This window comes from Homo sapiens, chromosome 19 (assembly GCF_000001405.40).
Source record: "Homo sapiens chromosome 19, GRCh38.p14 Primary Assembly".
NCBI lineage: Eukaryota > Metazoa > Chordata > Mammalia > Primates > Hominidae > Homo > Homo sapiens.
The window spans coordinates 55,408,053-55,428,444 of NC_000019.10; the positions used below are offsets into that span (position 1 = coordinate 55,408,053).

General features: G+C 48.8%; 1 long non-coding RNA gene across 1 annotated transcript, besides 5 other annotated features; it reads left to right on the top strand.

Moving 5' to 3' along the window:
- Positions 69–363: an enhancer, noted in NCBI's record as "tiled region #8373; HepG2 Activating non-DNase unmatched - State 1:Tss, and K562 Activating DNase unmatched - State 1:Tss". NCBI's record gives its function as "activates a minimal TATA promoter and a strong SV40 promoter by Sharpr-MPRA in HepG2 and K562 cells {active_cell/tissue: HepG2 | K562}" and the evidence as "EXISTENCE:reporter gene assay evidence [ECO:0000049][PMID:27701403]".
- Positions 93–18,676, top strand: LOC105372462 (uncharacterized). The gene is made up of 3 exons (XR_936075.3): positions 93–1,880; positions 2,159–2,265; positions 18,400–18,676. It is a non-coding gene; the product is annotated as an uncharacterized LOC105372462 (long non-coding RNA).
- Positions 385–494: an enhancer, noted in NCBI's record as "active region_15095". NCBI's record gives its function as "activates an Ori minimal core promoter by ATAC-STARR-seq in GM12878 lymphoblastoid cells {active_cell/tissue: GM12878}" and the evidence as "EXISTENCE:reporter gene assay evidence [ECO:0000049][PMID:35858748]".
- Positions 10,375–10,504: an enhancer, noted in NCBI's record as "active region_15096". NCBI's record gives its function as "activates an Ori minimal core promoter by ATAC-STARR-seq in GM12878 lymphoblastoid cells {active_cell/tissue: GM12878}" and the evidence as "EXISTENCE:reporter gene assay evidence [ECO:0000049][PMID:35858748]".
- Positions 11,060–11,629: an enhancer, noted in NCBI's record as "H3K4me1 hESC enhancer chr19:55930479-55931048 (GRCh37/hg19 assembly coordinates)". NCBI's record gives its function as "activates a minimal SCP1, AML or CMV promoter by ChIP-STARR-seq in primed H9 embryonic stem cells {active_cell/tissue: H9 hESC(primed)}" and the evidence as "EXISTENCE:reporter gene assay evidence [ECO:0000049][PMID:30033119]".
- Positions 11,966–12,166: a silencer, noted in NCBI's record as "peak3567 fragment used in MPRA reporter construct". NCBI's record gives its function as "represses an SCP1 promoter by STARR-seq MPRAs in K562 erythroleukemia cells {active_cell/tissue: K562}" and the evidence as "EXISTENCE:reporter gene assay evidence [ECO:0000049][PMID:32103011]".
- Positions 18,677–20,392: the final 1,716 nt, after the last annotated feature.

Below are 20,392 nucleotides of genomic sequence, written 5' to 3' on the forward strand. Positions count from 1 at the left end.
CGGGGAAGGCGACGCGGCCGCTGATTGGACCGTTTGAATGAGACGCCGCCACGGCCCGGCATACGCGCGGGCGCGCCCTGACGCTGAGGAAGTCGCGCACGCGACTAACGGTCTTCCTGGGGGCCGGAGCGTGGCGAGGGGAGGCGGGACTCGGGGTTTTAAACGCGTGATGGAAGGCGCTCGGGCCAATAGGGATGCGCTTTAGTGACTGGTGGGTCACGAGACTCGCATGGGCCAATGACTGATAGAGACCGGTCAGAGGGCGACCCAGTTTCGTGCAGATCAAACCGCTGCCAGCCAACGAAATCCGTTGATTTTTGTATATGCAAATGAAGTGTGCGCTGCCGCCCGCGCCCCCTCCTTTGAGCCGTGGTGGAGGTGGGCGCTGGAACTCCGACTACATTTTTCTATGAGGCGCCATTTTGTGCTGGAAATGCTCTTGGACCCACGTCCTGTATTGCTAAGGCTCAAAGATCAGTCAGAATGACCTTGAAGGCTTGGACAGCCTTGCACTCCGTGTGTGACCCCCACTCCTGCCAGGCTTCATCGAAGACGCCAGCCTCAGTTTCCTTATGTGACAAATGGGCACTGGGATCCGTTGTATTGCCAGGGAAAGAAGTCAGAGAGTGCCAAGACGGTTATTCACGGCATGGTTATGCCTATGACTGACCCATGGCCTCCAGCCACACCCGCCTTCTCTGGGACTCAGTTTCCCTCTCTAGGAAATGGACACATAGCTGCCTGGAAAAGGGACCATCTCCAGCCCTCAGTGTCAGTAAAAACGTCAGGCAATTGCTTGAGAACGGTGGCCAGAGCTCCCTGAGCAGGCCTTTTGGAGGGGCTTAGAGAGGAGGAGGGAATGCTGAAGTTGGCCTTCCTTTGCTCATCTGTGCAGTGCGGTCGCAGTGCCCTCTCGGTGTCTCTGCCAGTCTGTGCGTCCACAGCTCTTCTTAGTTTCTTGGCCTTTTTCAGCCATGGATGAGAGCATTAACATCTGGGCCTAATTTGGCCACAGGTACCTGAAAAGACCCCTGGCTACCAGCTTCCCCTCATGGGGCCTCAGCTTCTGAAGAAGGAATAAGGAAGGTGTGAAAGAAATCTACATGGCCAAGGCCAGGCGTGGTAGCTCACGCCTGTAATCCCAGCACTTTGGGAGGCTGAAGCTGGCAGATCACCTGAGGTCAGGAGTTTGAGACCAGCCTGGCCAACATGGTGAAACCCCATCTGTACTAAAAATACAAAAATTAGCCAGGTGTGTTGATGCAGCCCTGTAATCCCAGCTACTCGTGAGGCTGAGATGGGAGAATCGGTTAAAGCCGGGATGTGGAGGTTGCAGTGAACTGAGATCTCGCCACTGCACCCCAGCCTGGGCAACAGAGCAAGACCCTGTCTCAAAAAACAAAAAAGCAAAAAAAAAAAAAAAACCAAAAAACAAAACCTACATGGTCGGGTACAGTGACTACGCCCATAATCCCAGCACTTTGGGAGGCCAAGGTAGGTCGATCACTTGAGCCCAGGAGTTCAAGACCAGCCTGGGCAACATAGTGAGAGACCCCCACCAATATGTACAAAACAAACAAACCCAAAACAACTGAAGAAACAGCTACAGCATAAAAAGTCATCATCATAACTAGTTTGTGGAGAAATGGCTTCAGGTGATCCCTTCCTGCTCCCTCACCCCAGGTCCAATCTATACCAGTTCCTGTTGACGTCATCTACTGAATCTCATCACGTCCCCCCATCCGCTATGCCACCAGTCCTGCTTAGAGTCAACGTCATCCCATTTTGCCGATAAGCATTTTGCTGATCTTCAATTTTAGCCTGCTGGGTGTGGAGGATTCCAACCCAATTAACAGACAAGGAAGCTGAAGGAGCAGGAGGTAAAGTGACTTGCTCGGGGTTCCCCAGCTGGGACAAGGCAAAGCTAGTGGCTAAATTCGTCTTGATCTTAAAAATCCACCCAAAAGACATAACAATAATGATGATAATACTAATGGTTATTATGTATTATTTGCTGTGTGCCAGACCCTGTTCTAGTTTCTTTACATGCTTGATGTCATTTAATCCTTGTAACAACCATAATGGGTGGATATTATTAATTATTATGATCCCCTCTGGATACCTGCATTTATTCAATACATTTGTTCTTCTTTATTAGTGTCTACACTCTAGCTGTCAGGATGCTATGGGATACAGCAGAGAATAAAAGGGACAAAGCCTCGACTTTCATGGATCTTACATCCTGGTGCGGGAGCCAGATAGCAAGTAAGTCTATACCATCATGTCAGCAAGTGATAAAGACTGAAGAACAATCAGCAAGTGATAAAGACAGGAACAATTAGTGGGAGGGGGAGGTTTGAGAGGGAGGGATGGGGCTGCCATTTTACCTTGGCTGGGCAGGGAGAATCTGTCTGAGGAAAGGTCATTTGGGCTGTTGGAAGGTCTATGGGAAAAGCATTTTGAGCAAAGGGAACAGCAGGTGTCAAGAAGATTGTGCTTGGTGCTTTTAGGGAACATTAGGAGGCCAGCGAGGCTGGATTGGAGTGAGGCAGAGCAAGTAGAGGGCTCTGAGGTGGGAGAGGTGAGGGGCTGCTGGTGGGCCTCCTAGGCCATGGTGAAAAGTATGTCTGTTTTTTGAGCAATGGGGAGCCATTGGTGGCTTTGAGCAGAGAATGACTCCTTCAGACTTATGAACAGAAACAGGGAGGCCAATGAGGAGGTGATTACCTTTGTTCAGGTGGGATGATGGTGGCTCCAAGCAGGATTGGTGGCATTAGGAATGGGGGAAGTGATGAGATGATGTCAACAGCAACTGGTATAGATTGGACTTGGGGTGAGGGAGCGGGAGGGATCACCTGTACCCTAAATAATCACCTGAAAACCGGGAAGGCAGACCTTTTCCAAAAAGGTTTTCCAATGCTGTGGTCCATTGGTCTCTGGTCCAACTCACTAAACTCTGCCCTTGTAGCTCCTAAGAAAACTAATGGGTGTGTTTCCAAAAACAGGCAGTGGCCAAAGTAGGCCCCTGAGCTATAGTTTGCTCCCTGCTTTACACATATCCCACGTGCCCCACCCCAGCTGAAAACTCAAGAGTCCTCCTCCCCACTACATTTTGCATAAGCCCCAGACTCCCCAAAAACCCATAAGCCCTTGCACCATCTCCTGAGGCTTCCTTGCCTTTTTCTGTTTGTTCCTGGAATACGCCAAGCTTTTTACCCTGAGGACAGTTGGACAGGCAGTTCTCTGTGCCGGTCGTGCTTTTCCCCTTTCCTTCTTCTCATCTCCTAGGTTTACCCTAACTCGTCACCCCTTCACGGCAGCTTCTCTCCTCTTTCCTCCCCTCCCATGCTCTCTTTGCTTCATCCTCTTTGAACTTCATGATCTATCAGGATTTGCAATTATTTGCCTGATTGTGTGTTTGACTCTTCCCAACTAGAAGATTAGCCCCAGCAGAGCAGGGATCTTGTCCTCAGTCCCTAGCAGGGCGCCAGACAGACTGAAGATGTTATACATTCAACCAATATTTATTGAGCACCTACTATGTGCCAGGCACCAATCTGGGTGCTTGGGATTTATCAGAGATCAGATAGACAAAGATCTTTGTCCTTGGGATGCATCAGATAACAGATAGACAAAGGGCTTACTGTAGTTGAGGAAGACAGAACCAAAAATGAAACATAATAAATAAGGAAAACATGGTATTTTAGAAGGAACTACATGTTGTGGTAGGTAGGGAATACTCTCTGTTAACCATGTTTTTCCTCTGCTCTCATGCCACAATAATCAACTGATCTTCAACAAAGCATACAAAAACATAAAATGGGGAAAGGACACCCTACCCGATAAATGGTGCTGGGGAAACTGGCAAGCCACATGTAGAAAAATGAAACTGGATCCTCATCGCTCACCTTATATTAAGGTTGGTGCAAAATAAATCGAGGTTTTTGCCATTATTTTAATATTTGCAAGCTATACATCTGACAAAGGACTAATATCCAGAATTTACAAGGAGCTCTAACAAATCAGCAAGAAAAAAAATGATCCAATGAAAAAGTAGGCAAAGGACATGAATGGACAATTCTTTCAAAAGAAGATATTGCAAACAGCCAACAAACATATGAAAACTGCTCAGCATCACTCATTATCAGGGAAATGCAAATTAAAACCACAATGAGATAATACCTTACTCCTGCAAGAATGGCCATAATTAAAAAAAAAAAAAAATAGATGTTGGCATGGATGTGGTAAAAAGGGAACACTTTTACACTGTTGGTGGGAATGTAAACTAGTACAACCACTATGGAAACCAGTGTGGAGATTCCTTAAAGAACTGAAAGTAGATCTACCATTCGATCCAGCAATCCCACTACTGGGTATCTACCCAGAGGAAAAGAAATCATATGCAAAAGACACATACACATGCATGTTTATAGAAGCACAATTTGCAATTGCAAAAATACGGAACCAACCTAAATGCCCATCATCACCCAATGAGTGGATACAGAAAATATGGTATATATACACCATGGAATACTACTCAGCCATAAAACAGAAAACAGAATGAAATAATGGCATTCTCAGCAACTTGGATGGCCATTATTCTTTTTTTTTTTTTTAGACTGAATCTCGCACTGTCACCTGGGCTGGAGTGCAGTGGTGTGATCTCAGCTTACTGCAACCTCCGCCTCCTGGCTTCAAGCGATTCTCCTGCCTCAGCCTCCCGAGTAGCTGGGATTACAGGCGCCCAACACCAAGCCCAGCTAATTTTTTGCATTTTTAGTAGAGACGGGGTTTCACCATGTTCGCCAGGCTGGTCTCGAACTCCTGACCTCGTGATTCGCCCGCCTCGGCCTCCCAAAGTGCTGGGATTACAGGCGTGAGCCACTGCGCCCAGTCCTGAAGGCCATTATTTTAAGTGAATTAACTCAGGAATGGAAAATCAAATACCCTATGTTCTCACTTATAAGTGGGAGCTAAGCTATGAGGATGGAAAGACATAAGAATGGTACAATGGGGCCAGCCATTGTGGCTCACGCCTGTAGTAATCCCAACACTTTGGGAGGCCAAGGCAGGCAGATCACTTGTGGTCAAGAGTTTGAGACTGGCCTGGCCAACATGGTGAAACCCCATCTCTACTAAAAATACAAAAATTAGCCATACATGTTGGTGGGCACCTGTAATCCCAGCTACTCAGGAGGCTGAGGCAGGAGAATCACCTTAACTCGAGAGATGGAGGTTGCAGTGAGCCGAGATTGTGCCACTGCACTCCAGCCTGGGCCACAGAGCAAGATTCCATCTCAAAAAAAAAAAAAAAAAAAAAGATACAATGGACTTCGGGGACTGGAGGGTAAGATTGGGAGGGGGTGAGGGATAAAAGGCTACATACTGGATACAGTGTACACTGCTCAGGTGATGGAAGCACCAGAATGTCAAAAATCACCACCAAAGAACTTATCCATGTAACCAAACACCACCTGTACCCCCAAAACTATTGAAATATAAACAATTAAAATTGTGATGATGGTCGCAAAACTTTGTGGATATATACTAAAAACCATTGATTTATGTAGTTTATATGGGTGAATTCTATGATACATGAATTACATCTCAATTAAGCTTTTTATCTTTTTTTTTTTTTTTTTTTTTTGGAGACAGGGTCTTACTCTGTCACCCAGGCTGTAGTGCAGTGGCATGATCTCATCTCACTGCAGCCTCCACCTCCCAGGCTCAAGCAATCCTCACACCTCAGCCTCCCGAGTAGCTGGGACTACAAGGGTGCACCAACACACCAGGCTAATTTTTGTGCTTTTTATAGAGATTGGTTTTCTCCCTGCTGCCCACTCTGGTCTCAAACTCCTGGCCTCAAGCAATCCATCTGCCTCAGCCTCCCAAAGTGCTGGGATTACAGGTATGAGCCACTGCACCTGGCCTAAGCCTTTTTTTTTTTTTTTTTTGGTAAGAATTTAAAAAGTTACTGTGATGGGGGAAACTCAAAGAAAGTCATAGGGATGGGAGAAAGAGAGAGAGAGAGATCTGAGGGACAGTGTTCCAAGTTGGGAGAGGTGGCCGGGAAGGGCTAGGCTCTGCAGACTCCAGAAGGCCACCGTGAAGAGTGTGCGTGAGCTCTAGGGAGCTATTGAAGAGGTTTTTTTTTTTTTCTTTTTTTTTCTTTTTTTTTTTTGAGATGGAGTCTCGCTCTGTCGCCCAGGCTAGAGTGCAGTGGCGTGATCTCGGCTCACTGCCAGCTCTGCCTCCCGGGTTCACGCCATTCTCCTGCCTCAGCCTCCTGAGTAGTTGGAACTACAGGCGCCCACCACCACGCCCGGCTAATTTTTTGTATTTTTAGTAGAGACGCGGTTTCACCATGTTAGCCAGGATGGTCTCGATCTCCTGACCTCGTGATCCGCCTGCCTCAGTCTCCCACAGTGCTGGGATTACAGGCATGAGCCACCGCGCCTGGCCTATTGAAGAGTTTTGGGCAGAGGGGTGACTGGATTTGGTGCTCATATTGGGACTGTAGCTCAGGGCTGCTGGTAGAGACTGGACTGGAGGGTCCAGATTGGAAGCAGAAAATCCAGCAGCAAGTGGACTGTGGCTTGGCGAGGGTGGCGACCGTCTGGGAAAGGGGTGGAGGGAAGGGAGCAGATGTGAGAACTAATCAGAAGGTGGTCTAGTGATAGGCAGCCTTCCAAATCCTTTGGGAGACAGGAATTGTCAGAGGATGGGATTGGGAAGGGGCACCCTTTCTTTGCTAAGTACTAGTAACCCATGAACTCGCTTTTGTTCAGGGCCGGGCGTGGTGGCTCATGCCTGTAATCCCAGCACTTTGGGAGGCCTAGGCGGGTGGATCACCTGAGGTCAGGAGTTCAAGACCAGCCTGGCCAACAAGGTGAAACCGCATTTCTACCAAAAATACAAAAATTAGCCGGGCACGGTGGTGCATGCCTGTGATCCCAGCTATTCAGGAGGCTGAGGCAGGAGACTTGCTTTAATCTGGGAGGCGGAGGTTGCAGTGAGCCGAGATCACGCCACTGCACTCCAGCCTGGGCAGCAGAGTGAGACTCTATCTCAAAAGAATTTACTTTTGTTCAGTGAAACCTAAATTGTCCCTTTGGCTTGAATTCTGGTTTCAGAAATTAATCTTCATTTCTGTCCATCTGTATTAAATTACAAAAGAAATAGGTGTTTGGAGGGAAATCCACAGTTACTGAGGCATGGGAAATGAAGGCTGGAGGTGCTGCTCTAGCCCTCCTTCCCCTCCTACCCTCCACATCCACACTTCTCTCCGCAGCCCTTCCCGTCCACATCGATCAGTAGCCTTCAATTAAACTGCTGCACAGCAAGTGTCACTCAATACAATCACAGTATAGAGCAGGTGCAGTGGCTCATGCTTGTAATCCTAGTACTTTGGGAGGCCTCAGAGAGAAGATCATTTGAACCCAAGAGTTCAAGACCAGCCTGGGCAACATAGGGCAACCCTGTCTCTATAAAAAAATAAGAAATTAATTTTTTTTGAGAGAGAGAGTCTCACCCTGTTGCCCAGGCTGGAGGGCAATGGCGTGATCTCGGTTCACTGCAACCTCCACCTCCCAGGTTCAAGCACTTCTCCTGCCTCAGCCTCCCAAGTAACAGGGATTATAGGCACGCGCCACCACGCCCAGCTAATTTTTGTATTTTTAGTAGAGACAGTGTTTCACCATGTTGGCCAGGCTGGTCTCAAACTCCTGACCTCAGATGGTCCGCCTGCCTCGGCCTCCCAAAGTGCTGGGATTATAAGCGTGAGCCACCGCACCCAGCCAAAATAAAAATAATAAAAAAAAAAGTTAGCCAGGCTTGGTGGTGTATACCTGTAGTCCCAGCTCCTCGGGAGGCTGACGTGGGAGAAACACTTGAGCTGAGGAGGTTGAGGCTGCGGTGAGCTGTGTTCACACCACTGCACTCCAACCTGGGTGACACAGGAAGACCCTGTCGCAAAACAAAAACAAAAACTCTCAAAAAACAACAGAAAAGGTCAAAGATCCCACTGTAGTTTCATCGTACTCTCTGACTGATGGGCATCAAGGCTGAGCCCAGCGCATGGCTAGACACTGCTGTGAGCATCCTCCTTCATCTGTTCATCTTTGGGTACAGCCGTGAACATTTCCGAAGGACAAAGTCTTAGGGGAACTTTCAAGATCAAAGAGAATGCGTGCTTGCCATTCTGCCCAGTGGCCCTTGGCAGGGTTCTCCTTATTTGGATTCCCAAGATGTGACTTACTCGTTTAACCCGTATTTCTTTAGCACCAGATATACACCGGGCACTGTTCTGGGTGCTTGGGACACATCCGAGAACAAGATAGGAAACAAAATCCCTGCCCTCCTGGGGCTTCCATTCCAGCGGGGAGACTAAAAGTCTTCCTGGGACTGAGTGGCAGCCCAGGATGCAGGCCTTTGCATGCTCACACTGGGGAAGTCCTGGGCTAATAGGTAAGTCAAGTTGGTAGTATTAAAAGATATTGGCAATGCACAGTGGCTCATGCCTGCAGTCCTAGCACTTTGGGAGGCTAAGGCAGGAGGATCACTTGAGCTCAAGAGTTTGAGATCAGCCTGGGCAACATAGTGGGACCCTGTCTCTACAAAAAAATTAAAAATTAGCCAGGAGTGGTGGCACATGCCTATAGTCCTAGCTACTTAGGAGGGTTGAGGCAGAAGGATTGCTTGAGCCCAGGAGGTTGAGGCTGCAGTGAGCCATGATCACGCCATGGCACTCCAGCCTGGGTAGCATAGTGAGACCCTGTCTGAAAAATAGAATAAAGATATTAATTGCTGTAAATATTAGTGTAGGCTAAGGAGGTTCAGGAATGTTGTGAGGGGGACAGTTTTTTTTTTTTTTTTTTTTGACGGAGTCTTGCTCTGTTGCCCAGGCTGGAGTGCAGTGGCGCCATCTCGGCTCACTGCAACCTCTGCTTCCCAGGCAGAGATTCTCCCAGGAGAATCAAGCAGTTCTCCTGTCTCAGCCTCCCAAGTAGCTGGGACTACAGGTGCGCACCACCATGCCCAGCTAATTTCTGTATTTTTAGTAGAGATGGGGTTTTACTATGTTGGCCAGGCTGGTCTTGACCTCCTGACCTCGAGATCCTCCCACCTCGGCCTCCCAAAGTGCTGGGATTACAGGCGTGAGCCACCATACCTGGTGTGGGGGTAGAGTTTTCTTTTTTTGAGACAGAGTCTCACCCTGTTGCCCAGGCTGGGGTGCAATGGCGTGATCTCGGCTCACTGCAACCTCTGCCTCCCAGGTTCAAGCAGTTCTCCTGCCTCAGCCTCCCAAGTAGCTGGGATTACAGGTGTACGCCACCACACCTGGCTAATTTTTTGTGTGGTTAGTAGAGACGGGCTTTCACCATCTTGTCCAGGCTGGTCTCGAACTCCTGACCTCGTGATCCGCCTGCCTTGGCCTCCCAAAGTACTGGGATTACAGGTGTGAGCCACTGCGCCTGGCCAAGGGGGACAGTTTTAAATATGGTAGAACTAATTGAGAAGGTAACATCTGAATAAAGATTCAAATGAAGCGGCCGGGCACAGTGGCTCATGCCTGTAAACCCAGATCCCAGCACTTTGGGGAGCTGAAGTGGGTGGATCACTTGAAGTCAGGAGTTTGAGACCAGCCTGGCCAACATGGTGAAACCTCGTCTTTAATAAAAATACAAAAATCAGTAGGGTGTGGTGATTCGTGCCTGTAGTCCCAGCTACTTGGGAGGCTGAGGCAGGAGAATCACTTGAACCCAGGAAGCGGAGGTGGAGGTGGTGGTGAGCCGAGATCATGACACTGCACTTTAGCCTGGGTGACAGAGCGAGACTTTGTTTAAAAAAAAAAAAAAATTAAAGGAAGTAAGAGAGCAAGTTTTGTGGGAATCCAGAGAAAAGCCATTCCAGGCAGAGGAAACTGCCAGTGTCAAAGTCCCCTCACAGGAGTGAGCCTGACGATGAGCAGTCTTCAAAAGATTCCACATCATGGGCAAGTCAAGGTGTCCCATCTTTTATTTGCATCTCCTTTCTTCCCAGTGAGGTTGAGCATCCTTTCCTGAGTTTCTGTGTCTGCTAGTCTGTGGTTGGTAGCAGGTTCTCTGCTCCTTAGTTCCTGAGTACTTCTGAGCAGACACTTGTGACCTTCCCAGCTTGAGGGGTCTGCACACGCTGGGGTAGGTAATTGACAAAAACTACTTTCCTCTGTGCCTCTGGAGCTGAACTTGGAACTCTCCTGGGTGGGAGAGGCCCTGATCAATGCAAAAATAGGCCCTTAAGTGGATCGGGTGCTCCCTCTAGTGACAGACACAGCAGTAATTAAATGCATTACCCGGGGCCAATCCTGCTTCGCAAATCCCTGAGCACAAGGCAGAGACTTCTTGAGTGCACTAGGAATTTCTTGTAATGACTGTACAACCAACACTGGTGACGCACACCAAGCTTAAACAGAAAAATGCCCAGTGCTGGGGAGGGTGGGAGCACACGGACATTTTCACATACATGGACTTGGCACAGGCCCTCTGAGTCGTAGTTGGCATTGTCTAGCAAAAGTCTTCAAAATACACCTGCCACTCATCTCCTGAGAGCTCATCCTAAAGAAAATGGAGGGAGTGGCCGGGCGCGGTGGCTCACACCTGTAATCCCAGCACTGTGGGAGGCCAAGGCGGGTTGAGGGAGTGGCCAGGCGCGGTGGCTCACACCTGTAATCTCAGCACTTCGGGAGGCCAAGGTGGATTGAGGGAGTGGCCAGGCGCGGTGGCTCACACCTGTAATCCCAGCACTTCGGGAGGCCAAGGCGGGCAGATCACAAGGTCAGGGGATTGAGAGCAGCCTGGCCAACATGGCGAAACCCTGTCTCTACCAAAAGTACAAAAATTAGCTGGATGTGGTGGCAGTGCCTGTAGTCCCAGCTACTTGGGAGGCTGAGGCAGGAGAATCGCTTGAACCAGGGAGTCGGAGGTTGCAGTGAGCCAAGATTGCACCACTGCACTCCAGCCTGGGCGACAGAGCAAGACTCCATCTCAAAAAAAAAAAAAAAAAGAAAAAAGAAAAAAGAAAAAATTAAAGGAATGCACCAAGTGTTGTGCAAAAAGATGTTCCTCAAGTATTGTTTAGAGTAGTAAAAACTAGGGAAAACCCAAACATCTATTGGTAGTGATGGCAGGGGCTGCTGCTATCATGCTGGCTGCAGCAGGGAGGTGCAGCTGGGGCTGCACGTTTCATGGAGCCGGGGGAGCCCCGCCCCTTCTGAGTTGGGGCAGAGCTCCCCAGGTGTCACTGCAGTCACCCAAACTGTGGCTGTGGATCTGAGCCTCCCTGTGCTCTTGGGGGTGAGGGGGGTGGTGCCAGGAACGGGCAGGATCTGTCCTCCTGGGTGCAGCTGCAGCCACCAGACCCGGTACTGCAAATCTGGGCCTCCAGCTCCACAGAGCAGGCAGGAGCTGGGACAAGTGGGAGCCCTGCCCCTTCTGAATTGGTGGGGTGGGAGCTTCTGGGTGCAGTGGCAACTGCCCTCCCAGGCATGGGACTCAAGAGTCTCTGCAGCCTGCACCCTTGGGGGCCCCAGGAAGGGCCCCCCATCCCTTCAGTCTCAGGGGTGCCTGTTCCCACTGCCTGGCTTCTCACCGCTCCTGGCTCCTGCTCCCATCTCAGATCAGTGGTTAGGGCAGAGCCCCGGGGCTGTGAATGGCAGTAGGAGGCCTGGGCAGAAGGGGGCAGTCCTAAGGAGGGCCTGAAGGCTGGGGGCTGGGCTATCAGTCCTGAGGACCAGAGTGGGGACACGCGGTGCCTCTTCTGGGCTGCCCATGGCTACCCATGGACCAATCAGCATGGACTTCCTTCCCTCTGAGGCCCATAAAAGCTCTGGGCTCAGCCAGAGCAGGGCAGGGGACAGCCAGAGAAGGAAGAGGGAGGAGAGAGGATTGGACTACCAGTGGCAGAGAAGAGCTACCTGCAGACTACCTGCTGGCAGAGAGGAGCCACCCCCACCAGGGCCTCCTCTCTGCTAAGAATTGCAGACATTAGGATGACCAGTTGTAGGGAGGAGCTACCCTCTCCAGAACCTCCTGTCTGCTGATAACTGAACACTCAACAGATGACCTGCCTACAGAGAGGAGCTACCCACTGTGGGTCCTCTGAGCGGTTGTAACACTAAATCAAGCTCATCCTTGTCTTCTTCACCCTTCACTTGTCTGCGTACCTCATTCTTCCTGGACTCAGGACAAGAACTCAGGCAAAGGCATCATTGGCAACAGAGGTTTCCAGCGGGGAAGAAAATCTACACCCCAAAGATCCTGTAGCAGTAGGAACTGGGAAAAAATTATGCTGCATCCATACAACAGAATATGCTATAGCCACTGAAAATGAGGGAGGTTTTGTTGTTTTTTGAATCACTGGTGTCTCGAAGAATCTGATGAAAGTACTGGATCCATTTCCCTGAAAAAAGCAAGTACAAATGCTAACGAATACATGTGAGAAGAATAATGAGTTTGGAAAATTATCATCTGAAGATTGCTGTTCAACTTTTGGAGAGTGATATTCAGATGCTTTGAAGACTTCCAATATTCAAACATCGTTGTAATGCCTGATTCAGCCAAGGCCGGGCATGGTGGCTCACACCTGTAATCCTAGCACTTTGGGAGGCTGAAGTGGGCAGATCATGAGGCCAGGAGTTTGAGAGCAGCCTGACTAACATGGTGAAACCCCGTCTCTACTAAAAATACAAAAATTAGCTGGGCATGGTGGCACATAATCCCAGCTACTCGGGAGGCTGAGGCAGGAGAATCGCTTGACTCCGCAAGGTAGAGGTTGCAGTGAGCCGAGATCACACTGCTGTACTCCAGGCTGAATGACAGAGCAAGGCTCCATCTCGAAAAAAAAATAAAAAAAAATTGATTCAGCCAAGAGAATCATCAGTGGAGGCCAAAGCAGCATGTGAAAGTTTGAGGAGAAAAAAGATAACTACATAGCATCAGGCTAAGTGTGGTGGCTCATGCCTGTAATCCAAGCACTTTGGGTAGTTGATACCTTGATCTTGGACTTCCAGCCTCCAGAACTGTGAAGAAATAGACTTCTGTTGTTGGCCAGGTGCAGTGGCTCCCACCTGTAATCCCAGCACTTTGGGAGGCTGAGGCAGGAGGATGGCTTGAGCCCAGGAGTTTAAGACCAGCCTGGGCAACACAATGAGACCCCCATCTCTATTAAAAAAAAAGCTTAAAAATTAGCCAGGCATGTTGGTGTGCACCTGTAATCCCAGCTATTCAGGAGGCTGAGGTGAGAGGATCCCTTGTGCTCAGAAGGCCAAGGCTGCAGTGAGTCTCGTTGGTGCCACTGCACTCCAGCCTTGGTGGAGTGCACTCAGAGCATATGAGCTCTGAGCACATGAACTTCAGGAAGCATGAGAGCATGGGCTTCCTTCAGCCAAAGCGCTGAGACTCTGGCATCCCTTCTGTGGTTTTCCTGTCTCACACATGTAACCCAGATCTAATCATGAGGAAACATCAGATGCGCCTAAATGCAAGGCATATTCTATAAAATGGCCTACCTGGATTCTTTAAAAAATCAGCATTAAAAAAGGCAAAGACTGGGCTGGGCGTGGTGGCTGCCACCTGTAATCCCAGCACTTTGGGAGGCTGAGGCAGGAGGATCACTTGAGCCCAGGAGTTCTAGCCTGGGCAACATAGTGAGACCCCTTCTCTTAAAAAAAACATCTCCTTAATCTCTGCGTGAATTGTGTGCAATAATAAAAAATAAAAATAGAAAAGAAAGACAAAGACTGAGTAACTGTTTCAGAGTGAAGCCACCTCAGCCGGGCGCAGTGGCTCATGCCTGTAATCCCAGCACTTTGGGAGGCCGAGGCGGGCGGATCACAAGGTCAGGAGATCGAGACCATCCTGGCTAACATGGGGAAACCCCGTCTCTACTGAAAATAGAAAAAAATCAGCCAGGCTTGGTGGCGGGCACGTGTAGTCCCAGCTACTTGGAAGGCTGAGGCAGGAGAATGGCGTGAACCCAGGAGGCGGAGCTTGCAGTGAGCTGAGATCGCACCACTGCACTCCAGCCTGGGCAACAGAGCGAGACTCTGTCTCAAAAAAAAAAAAAAAAAAAAGAAGCCACCTCAAGAAGCACAATAGCTGCATGCAACACCCAATCCTGGAGTGTCACAAACTGAAAGCTGCTCTGAAAGACAGTAGCAGGACGCTTGATGCAATTCAAACATGGACTTGGTCAATGCTAAATTCTTGAGTGTGATAATTATGCTGTGGATGTGTAAGAGAGTGGCCTTGTTCTTCAGAATGGCCTCTAGGGGTAAAGGGATGTGATAGGTGCAACTTACTCCCAAATATCTCCAAAAAAAAAAAACACGATTTTTTTCTTTTTTTTAGAAGGTGTCTCGCTCTGTAACCCAGGCTGGAGTGCAATGGCACGATCTCGGCTCACTGCAACTTCCGCCTCCCAGGTTCAAGCGATTCTCCCGCCTCAGCCTCCTGAGTAGCTGGGATTACAGGCACCCACCACCACGCCTGGCTAATTTTTGTATTTTTAGTAGAGACGGGGTTTCACCATGTTAACCGGGATGGTCTTGATCTCCTGACCTCGTGATCTGCCCGCCTCGGCCTCCCAAAATGCTGGGATTACAGGGGTGAGCCACTGCACCTGGCTTTTTTTTTTCTTTCTTTTTTTTGATGGAGTTTTGCTCTTGTTGCCCAGGCTGTGGTGCAATGGCACGATCTTGGCTCACTGCAACCTCTGCCTCCTGGGTTCAAGCAAGTCTCCTGCCTCAGCCTACCGAGTAGCTGGGATTACAGGCGCCTGCCACCACGCCCAGCTAATTTTTTGTATTTTTAGTGGAGACGGGGTTTCATTATGTTGGCCAGGCTGGTCTCAAACTCCTGACCTTAGGTGATCCACCTGCCTCAGCCTCCCAAAGTGCTGGGATTACAGACATGAGCCACCATGTCCGGCATTTTTTTTTTTTTTTTTTTTATGAGACAGGTTCTGGCTTTGTGGCCCAGGCTGGAGTGCAGTGGTGTGATCTTGGCTGACTGCAACCTCTACCTCCTGGGCTCAAGCGATCCTCCCGCCTCAGCCTCCTGAGTAGCTGGAACTACAGGTGCATGCCAGCATGCCCAGCTAATTTTTTGTGTGCATATATATATATATATATTTTGTTGTTGTTGTTGTTGTTTTGTTGTTGTTGTTGTTGTTTTGGTAGAGATGAGGTTTCACCATGTTGCCCAGGCTGATGTCAAACTCCTGAGCTTAAGCAATCCACCCATCTCGGCCTCTCAAAGTGTTGGGATTACAGGTATGAGCCACCGTGCCCAGCCGAGATGAATATTTATATGGAAAGAAAACCATACAATGATGTCATATAATGGTAACAAATGGTGAGTTGGTGAAAATGACACAGAAGTTCTTTGACTTATTCTTGTAACTGTTCTGTACATTTGAAATTATTTCAAAATATAAAGTCAAGAAAAGTGAAATGAAAAAGCATGCACACAACATCTGGCATAGATTTGAGACATTCACAAGCCCACCCTTCAAATGCGGGTTAAGAATAGCTGCTGAGAGGCTGCATTTATTGGCACAGTCGGGTTGCCAGTTGAGCGAGTGTTAGGTGACAAAGGCGAACACTGAAGGCAGAATGCTCATGTCAGATCTTATCCTTGACTTGCCCGCCCTGCACACAGTGGGTGTGGAGCAGATTGCTCTTCTCTTGTTGAACACAAATGAATCCGTTGGCTGGCATGTGGCATCCATGAGGAATGAAAATACATACACTGAAGCACTGGAGTTCCGATTCAGAGTGGGAAGCTAATCACCCTCTGAGGGAGAGGAATGAGACTCCAGTCGCCCATCTCTCTCACGTGTCTTGGCATATGCTTAGTGAGGGGAATGGCAGGCAAAGTCTGCACCATTTGCATTTAAATCTACGCTGTGGGAGGCTGAGGTGGGAGGATCGCTCGAGGTCAGGAGTTCAAGACTAGCCTGGTCAGCATAGCCAGATTCCCATCTCTACATTTATATTTTTTTAAATTCTTTTTTCTTTCTTTTCTGTTAATTAATTAATTAATTAATTTATTTATTTATTAGGCAGAGTCTCACTCTGCCAGCCAGGCTGGAGTGCAGTGGCACGATCTTGGCGATCTCAGCGATCTTGGCTCACTGCAACCTCCTCCTCCTGAGTTCAAGCGATTCTCCTGCTGCAGAATTTAAAAATTCTATTAAAAAAAAAAAGTAGGGCCAGGCATGGTGGCTCATGCCTGTAATCCCAGCACTTTGGGAGGCCGAGGTGGGCAGATTATCTGAGGTCAGGAGTTCGAGACCAGCCTGGCCAATGTGGCGAAACCCCGTCTCTAGTAAAAATACAAAAATTAGCTGGGGGCCTGGTGGTGGGCACCTGTAATCCCAGCTAGTCAGGAGGCTGAGGATCACTTGGGGAATCAAGGCTGCAGTGAGCTGAGATTGCACCACTGCACTCCAGCCTCTGCAATAGAGCAACACCCTGTCTAAAAAACAAAACAAAACAGTAGAGAGTACACTTGCCGATACAAAAATCCAGAAGTGCAAAAGGGCATTTAGAAGTAAAAAGCCCCAGCCATCCAGTTCCCCTCTCCATAAGCAACCCTGTCAGCCAGAATGGGCTATGCTAGGCTGCAGTAACAAGTAGCCCCAAAGCCCTGGTTGTTAAAGCAACAAGAGTTTATTTCTCATTCGTGCTACATGTGCATCTGCGGCTGGTGGAGCCCCTATTTGGCATCATCCTTACTCTGGGGCCCTGGCTGATCTGCCTGGGACTCAGGCCAGCAGAGCAGCTATGACCTGAAATATGCCAGTGCCCATGGAGGAGGGAAAAGACAGAGCATGGGAGAACCACACCCTGTCTCTCACAAGCTTCTGCCTGGAAAGATACTTCTGCCCGCACTTCATAGGCCAAGGCAAGTCGCACGGGCACAGCTAACTTCGGGGGCAGGGAAATAGAATCCTACCATGTGCCCAGGAGGAGAATTGGAAATATTTGGTGCAGCAAATTTATATACAGATTCTGTTCCCCGCTCCTTTTACACAAATGGTAGCATTCATGCACACTATTCTATATCTTGCTTTCTTACTTAACAATAAACCTTGGAGACTATTTCACACTGGGTGATGTGGGCAACATCCAAGGCATCCTCATTCTCTTTTATACAGCTTACTTGCACTATTAAATTTCTGTTTCTCTTTCTATATATACAGTTGGGTGCAGATAAGTTAACTATACTTATGGCATAATGTCCTTCTATTATTAGATGAAAAAAGCAGGGGCCAGGTGCGCTGGCTGATGCCTATAATCCCAGTACTTCGGGAGGCCAAGGCAGGAGAATTACCTGAAGTCAGGAGTTCGAGACCAGCCTGGTGAACGTGATGAAACCTGGTCTCTACTAAAAATTCAAAAATTAGCTGGGCGTGGTGGCGCATGCCTGTAGTTCCAGCTACTCAGGAGGCTGAGGCACGAGAATTGCTTGAACCTGAGAGGCAGAGGTGGCAGTGAGCAGAGATCGCGCCATTGCATTCCAGCCTGGGAGACAGGGTGAGACTTTGTCTCAAAAAAAAAAAAAAAAAAAAAAAAAAAATGGGCCAGGCACGGTGGCTCACGCCTGTAATCCCAGCACTTTGGGAGGCTGAGGCGGGTGGATCACAAGGTCAGGAGTTCGAGACCAGCCTGATCAGTATGGTGAAACCCCATCTCTACTAAAAATACAAAAATTAGCAAGGCATGGTGGTGCGCACCTGTAGTACCAGCTACTAGGGAGGCTGAGGCAGGAGAATTGCTTGAACCTGGGAGGCGGGGGTTGCAGTGAGCCGAGATTGTGCCACTGCACTCCCGCCTGGGTGACAGAGCAAGACTCCATCTCAAAAAACAAAACAAAATAAAAAAAGAAGTAAAAGAAAAAAGAAGTTACAGAGCAGTCTATATATAGGAAGGCTGATTTGTAAAAAAAAAAAAATTGTTTTCATGTGGAAATTTCTAGAAGAAAACATAGCTAATGTAAACAGCATTTGACTCTAAGCAGTGAGAAATCAGGAGATCTCCATTTTGTTATCTCCTTCTCTGGATTTTCTAATTTTTTTTTCCCCTATAACAATCACTGTCATTGTGACAGTGCACTTGGTTGCCAGGAACAGAAGCCAAGAGAGGTTTGTGGGAGAACTGAGGGACTTCCATGGGTTCACTTGTTCCTCAAGAACAAGGACCTTGTTTGTGCCGTTCACTGTATTTTGTTGACTGAATTAGTGAACTGGCATAGCAGAAAATAAAATTCAACCGTGCCCCTTGGAGTCTCAAACTGGGGATGGGTAGTTGCTGCCTCATGGTATTTTTCTACCTCTCTTTTATCTGTGTCTCTCCAGTTCTCTTTCCAGAGTGATGCGCAAACAAACCCTCAGATGCAAGGTGAAAGCCTGAAGCTTAGAGACAAATATTTAGTTGCATCTAGGGAGAATTTTCCTAAAGTTCGTAAAATTGGTACATAGAGGAACCTCCCCTCCTGGCCAGAGTCTGCATCTGAGCACTAAGGTAAGGAGGCAACTCTCGTCAGCACTGTGCAAATGTTTTAATGCACTGGGTGGGAAAGGGAAGCAGGCAGGGAGAATGCTTCCTTTTTGTATTTTTTATTTTTGAGACAAAGTCTTGCTCTGTTGCCCAGGCTGGAATGCAGTGGTGCGATCTCAGCTCACTGCAACCTCTGCCTCCCGGGTTCAAGTGATTCTCCTGCCTCAGCCTCCCGAGTAGCTGGGACTACAGGTGCGCACCACCACATCCAGCTGATTTTTGTGTTTTTAGTAGAGACATGGTTTCACCACATTGGCCAGGCTCGTCTCAAACTCCTGACCTCAAGTAATCCTCCCACCTCAGCCTCCCACAGTGCTGGGATTACAGGCGTGAGCCACCACACCTGGCTATTTTTTACTTTTGAGACAGGGTCTCACTCTGCCCAGGCTGGAGTGTAGTGATGCAGTGATAGCTCACTGTAGCCTTGAACTCCTGACCTCAGGCGATCCACCTGCCTCGGCCTCCCAAAGTGCTGGAATTACAGGCATGAGCCACCACACCTGGCCTATTTTTAAATTTTTAGTAGAGATGAGGCCTTGCTATGTTGCCCAGGCTGGTCTTGAACTCCTGGCCTCAAGCAATCCTCATACCTCAGCCTCCCAAAGTGCTAGGATTATGGTTGTGGGCCACCATGTCCAGTTGGAAAATGCTTCCTAATTGTCATAAAAATGGACACTTCAGTGGACATCACCATGCCATGCCTCCTCTTATGGGTCGAATTATGTCTCTCAAAAAAGACGTTTGAGTCCTAACTACCCAGTCCCTGTGACTGTGACCTTATTTGGAGAGAGGGTCTTTGCAGACGAGCAAGTTAAAATGACGTTATCTGGGAGGCTCCTAATCTAACGTCATCAGTGTCATCATAAAAGGGGGGAGTTTGGGCTGGGTGTGGTGGCTCATGCCTGTAATCCCAGCACTTTGGGAGGCCGCTGAGGGCGGATCACGAGGTCAGGAGTTCAAGACCAGCCTGACCAATATGGTGAATCCCTGTCTCTACTAAAAATACAAAAATTAGCTGGGCGTGGTGGTGCACGCCTGTAGTCCCAGCTACTTGGGAGGCTGAGGCAGGAGACTCGCTTGAACCCGGGAGGCGGAGGTTGCAGTGAGCTGAGATCGTGCCACTGCACTCCAGCCTGAGTGACAGAGAGAGACTCTGTCTCAAAAAAATAAAAAAAAAGTGTGGGGCGGCATTTGGATACAGAGACAGACAGACACAGAGGGAAGACTATGTGAAGACAGGGAGAACCGCAGCTACAAACCAAGGAATGCCTAAGATACCAACCAAGCACCAGGCCTGAGAGAGGCCTGAGCAGATCCCCTCTTGAGAAAGAATAAACCAGCCCTGCCACCTCCTTTTTACCTTTTTTGTTTTTTGAGGCAGAGTCTCACTCTGTTGCCCAGGCTGGAGTGCAGTGGTAGGATTTCGGCTCACTGCAACCTCCGCTTCCCAAGCTCAAGCAATTCTCCTGCTTCAGCCTCCTGGTTAGCTGGAATTACAGGTGCCTGCCACCACATCCGGCTAATTTTTTTTTTTTGTATTTTTAGTCGAGACAGCGTTTCAACATGTTGGCCAGGCTGATCTCAAACTCTTGACCTCAGGTGATCCTCCTGCCTTGGCCTCCCAAAGTGCTGGGATTATAGGCATGAGCCCCTGCACCTGGCCGGCCTGCCACCTCCTTGATCTTGGACTTCCAGCCTCCGGAACTGTGAGCCATGAAGTTTTGCAAAACTAGTACACCCCACCCACACCCCTACGCTTTAATGCTATTCGGCCAAATAATTTGAATATAA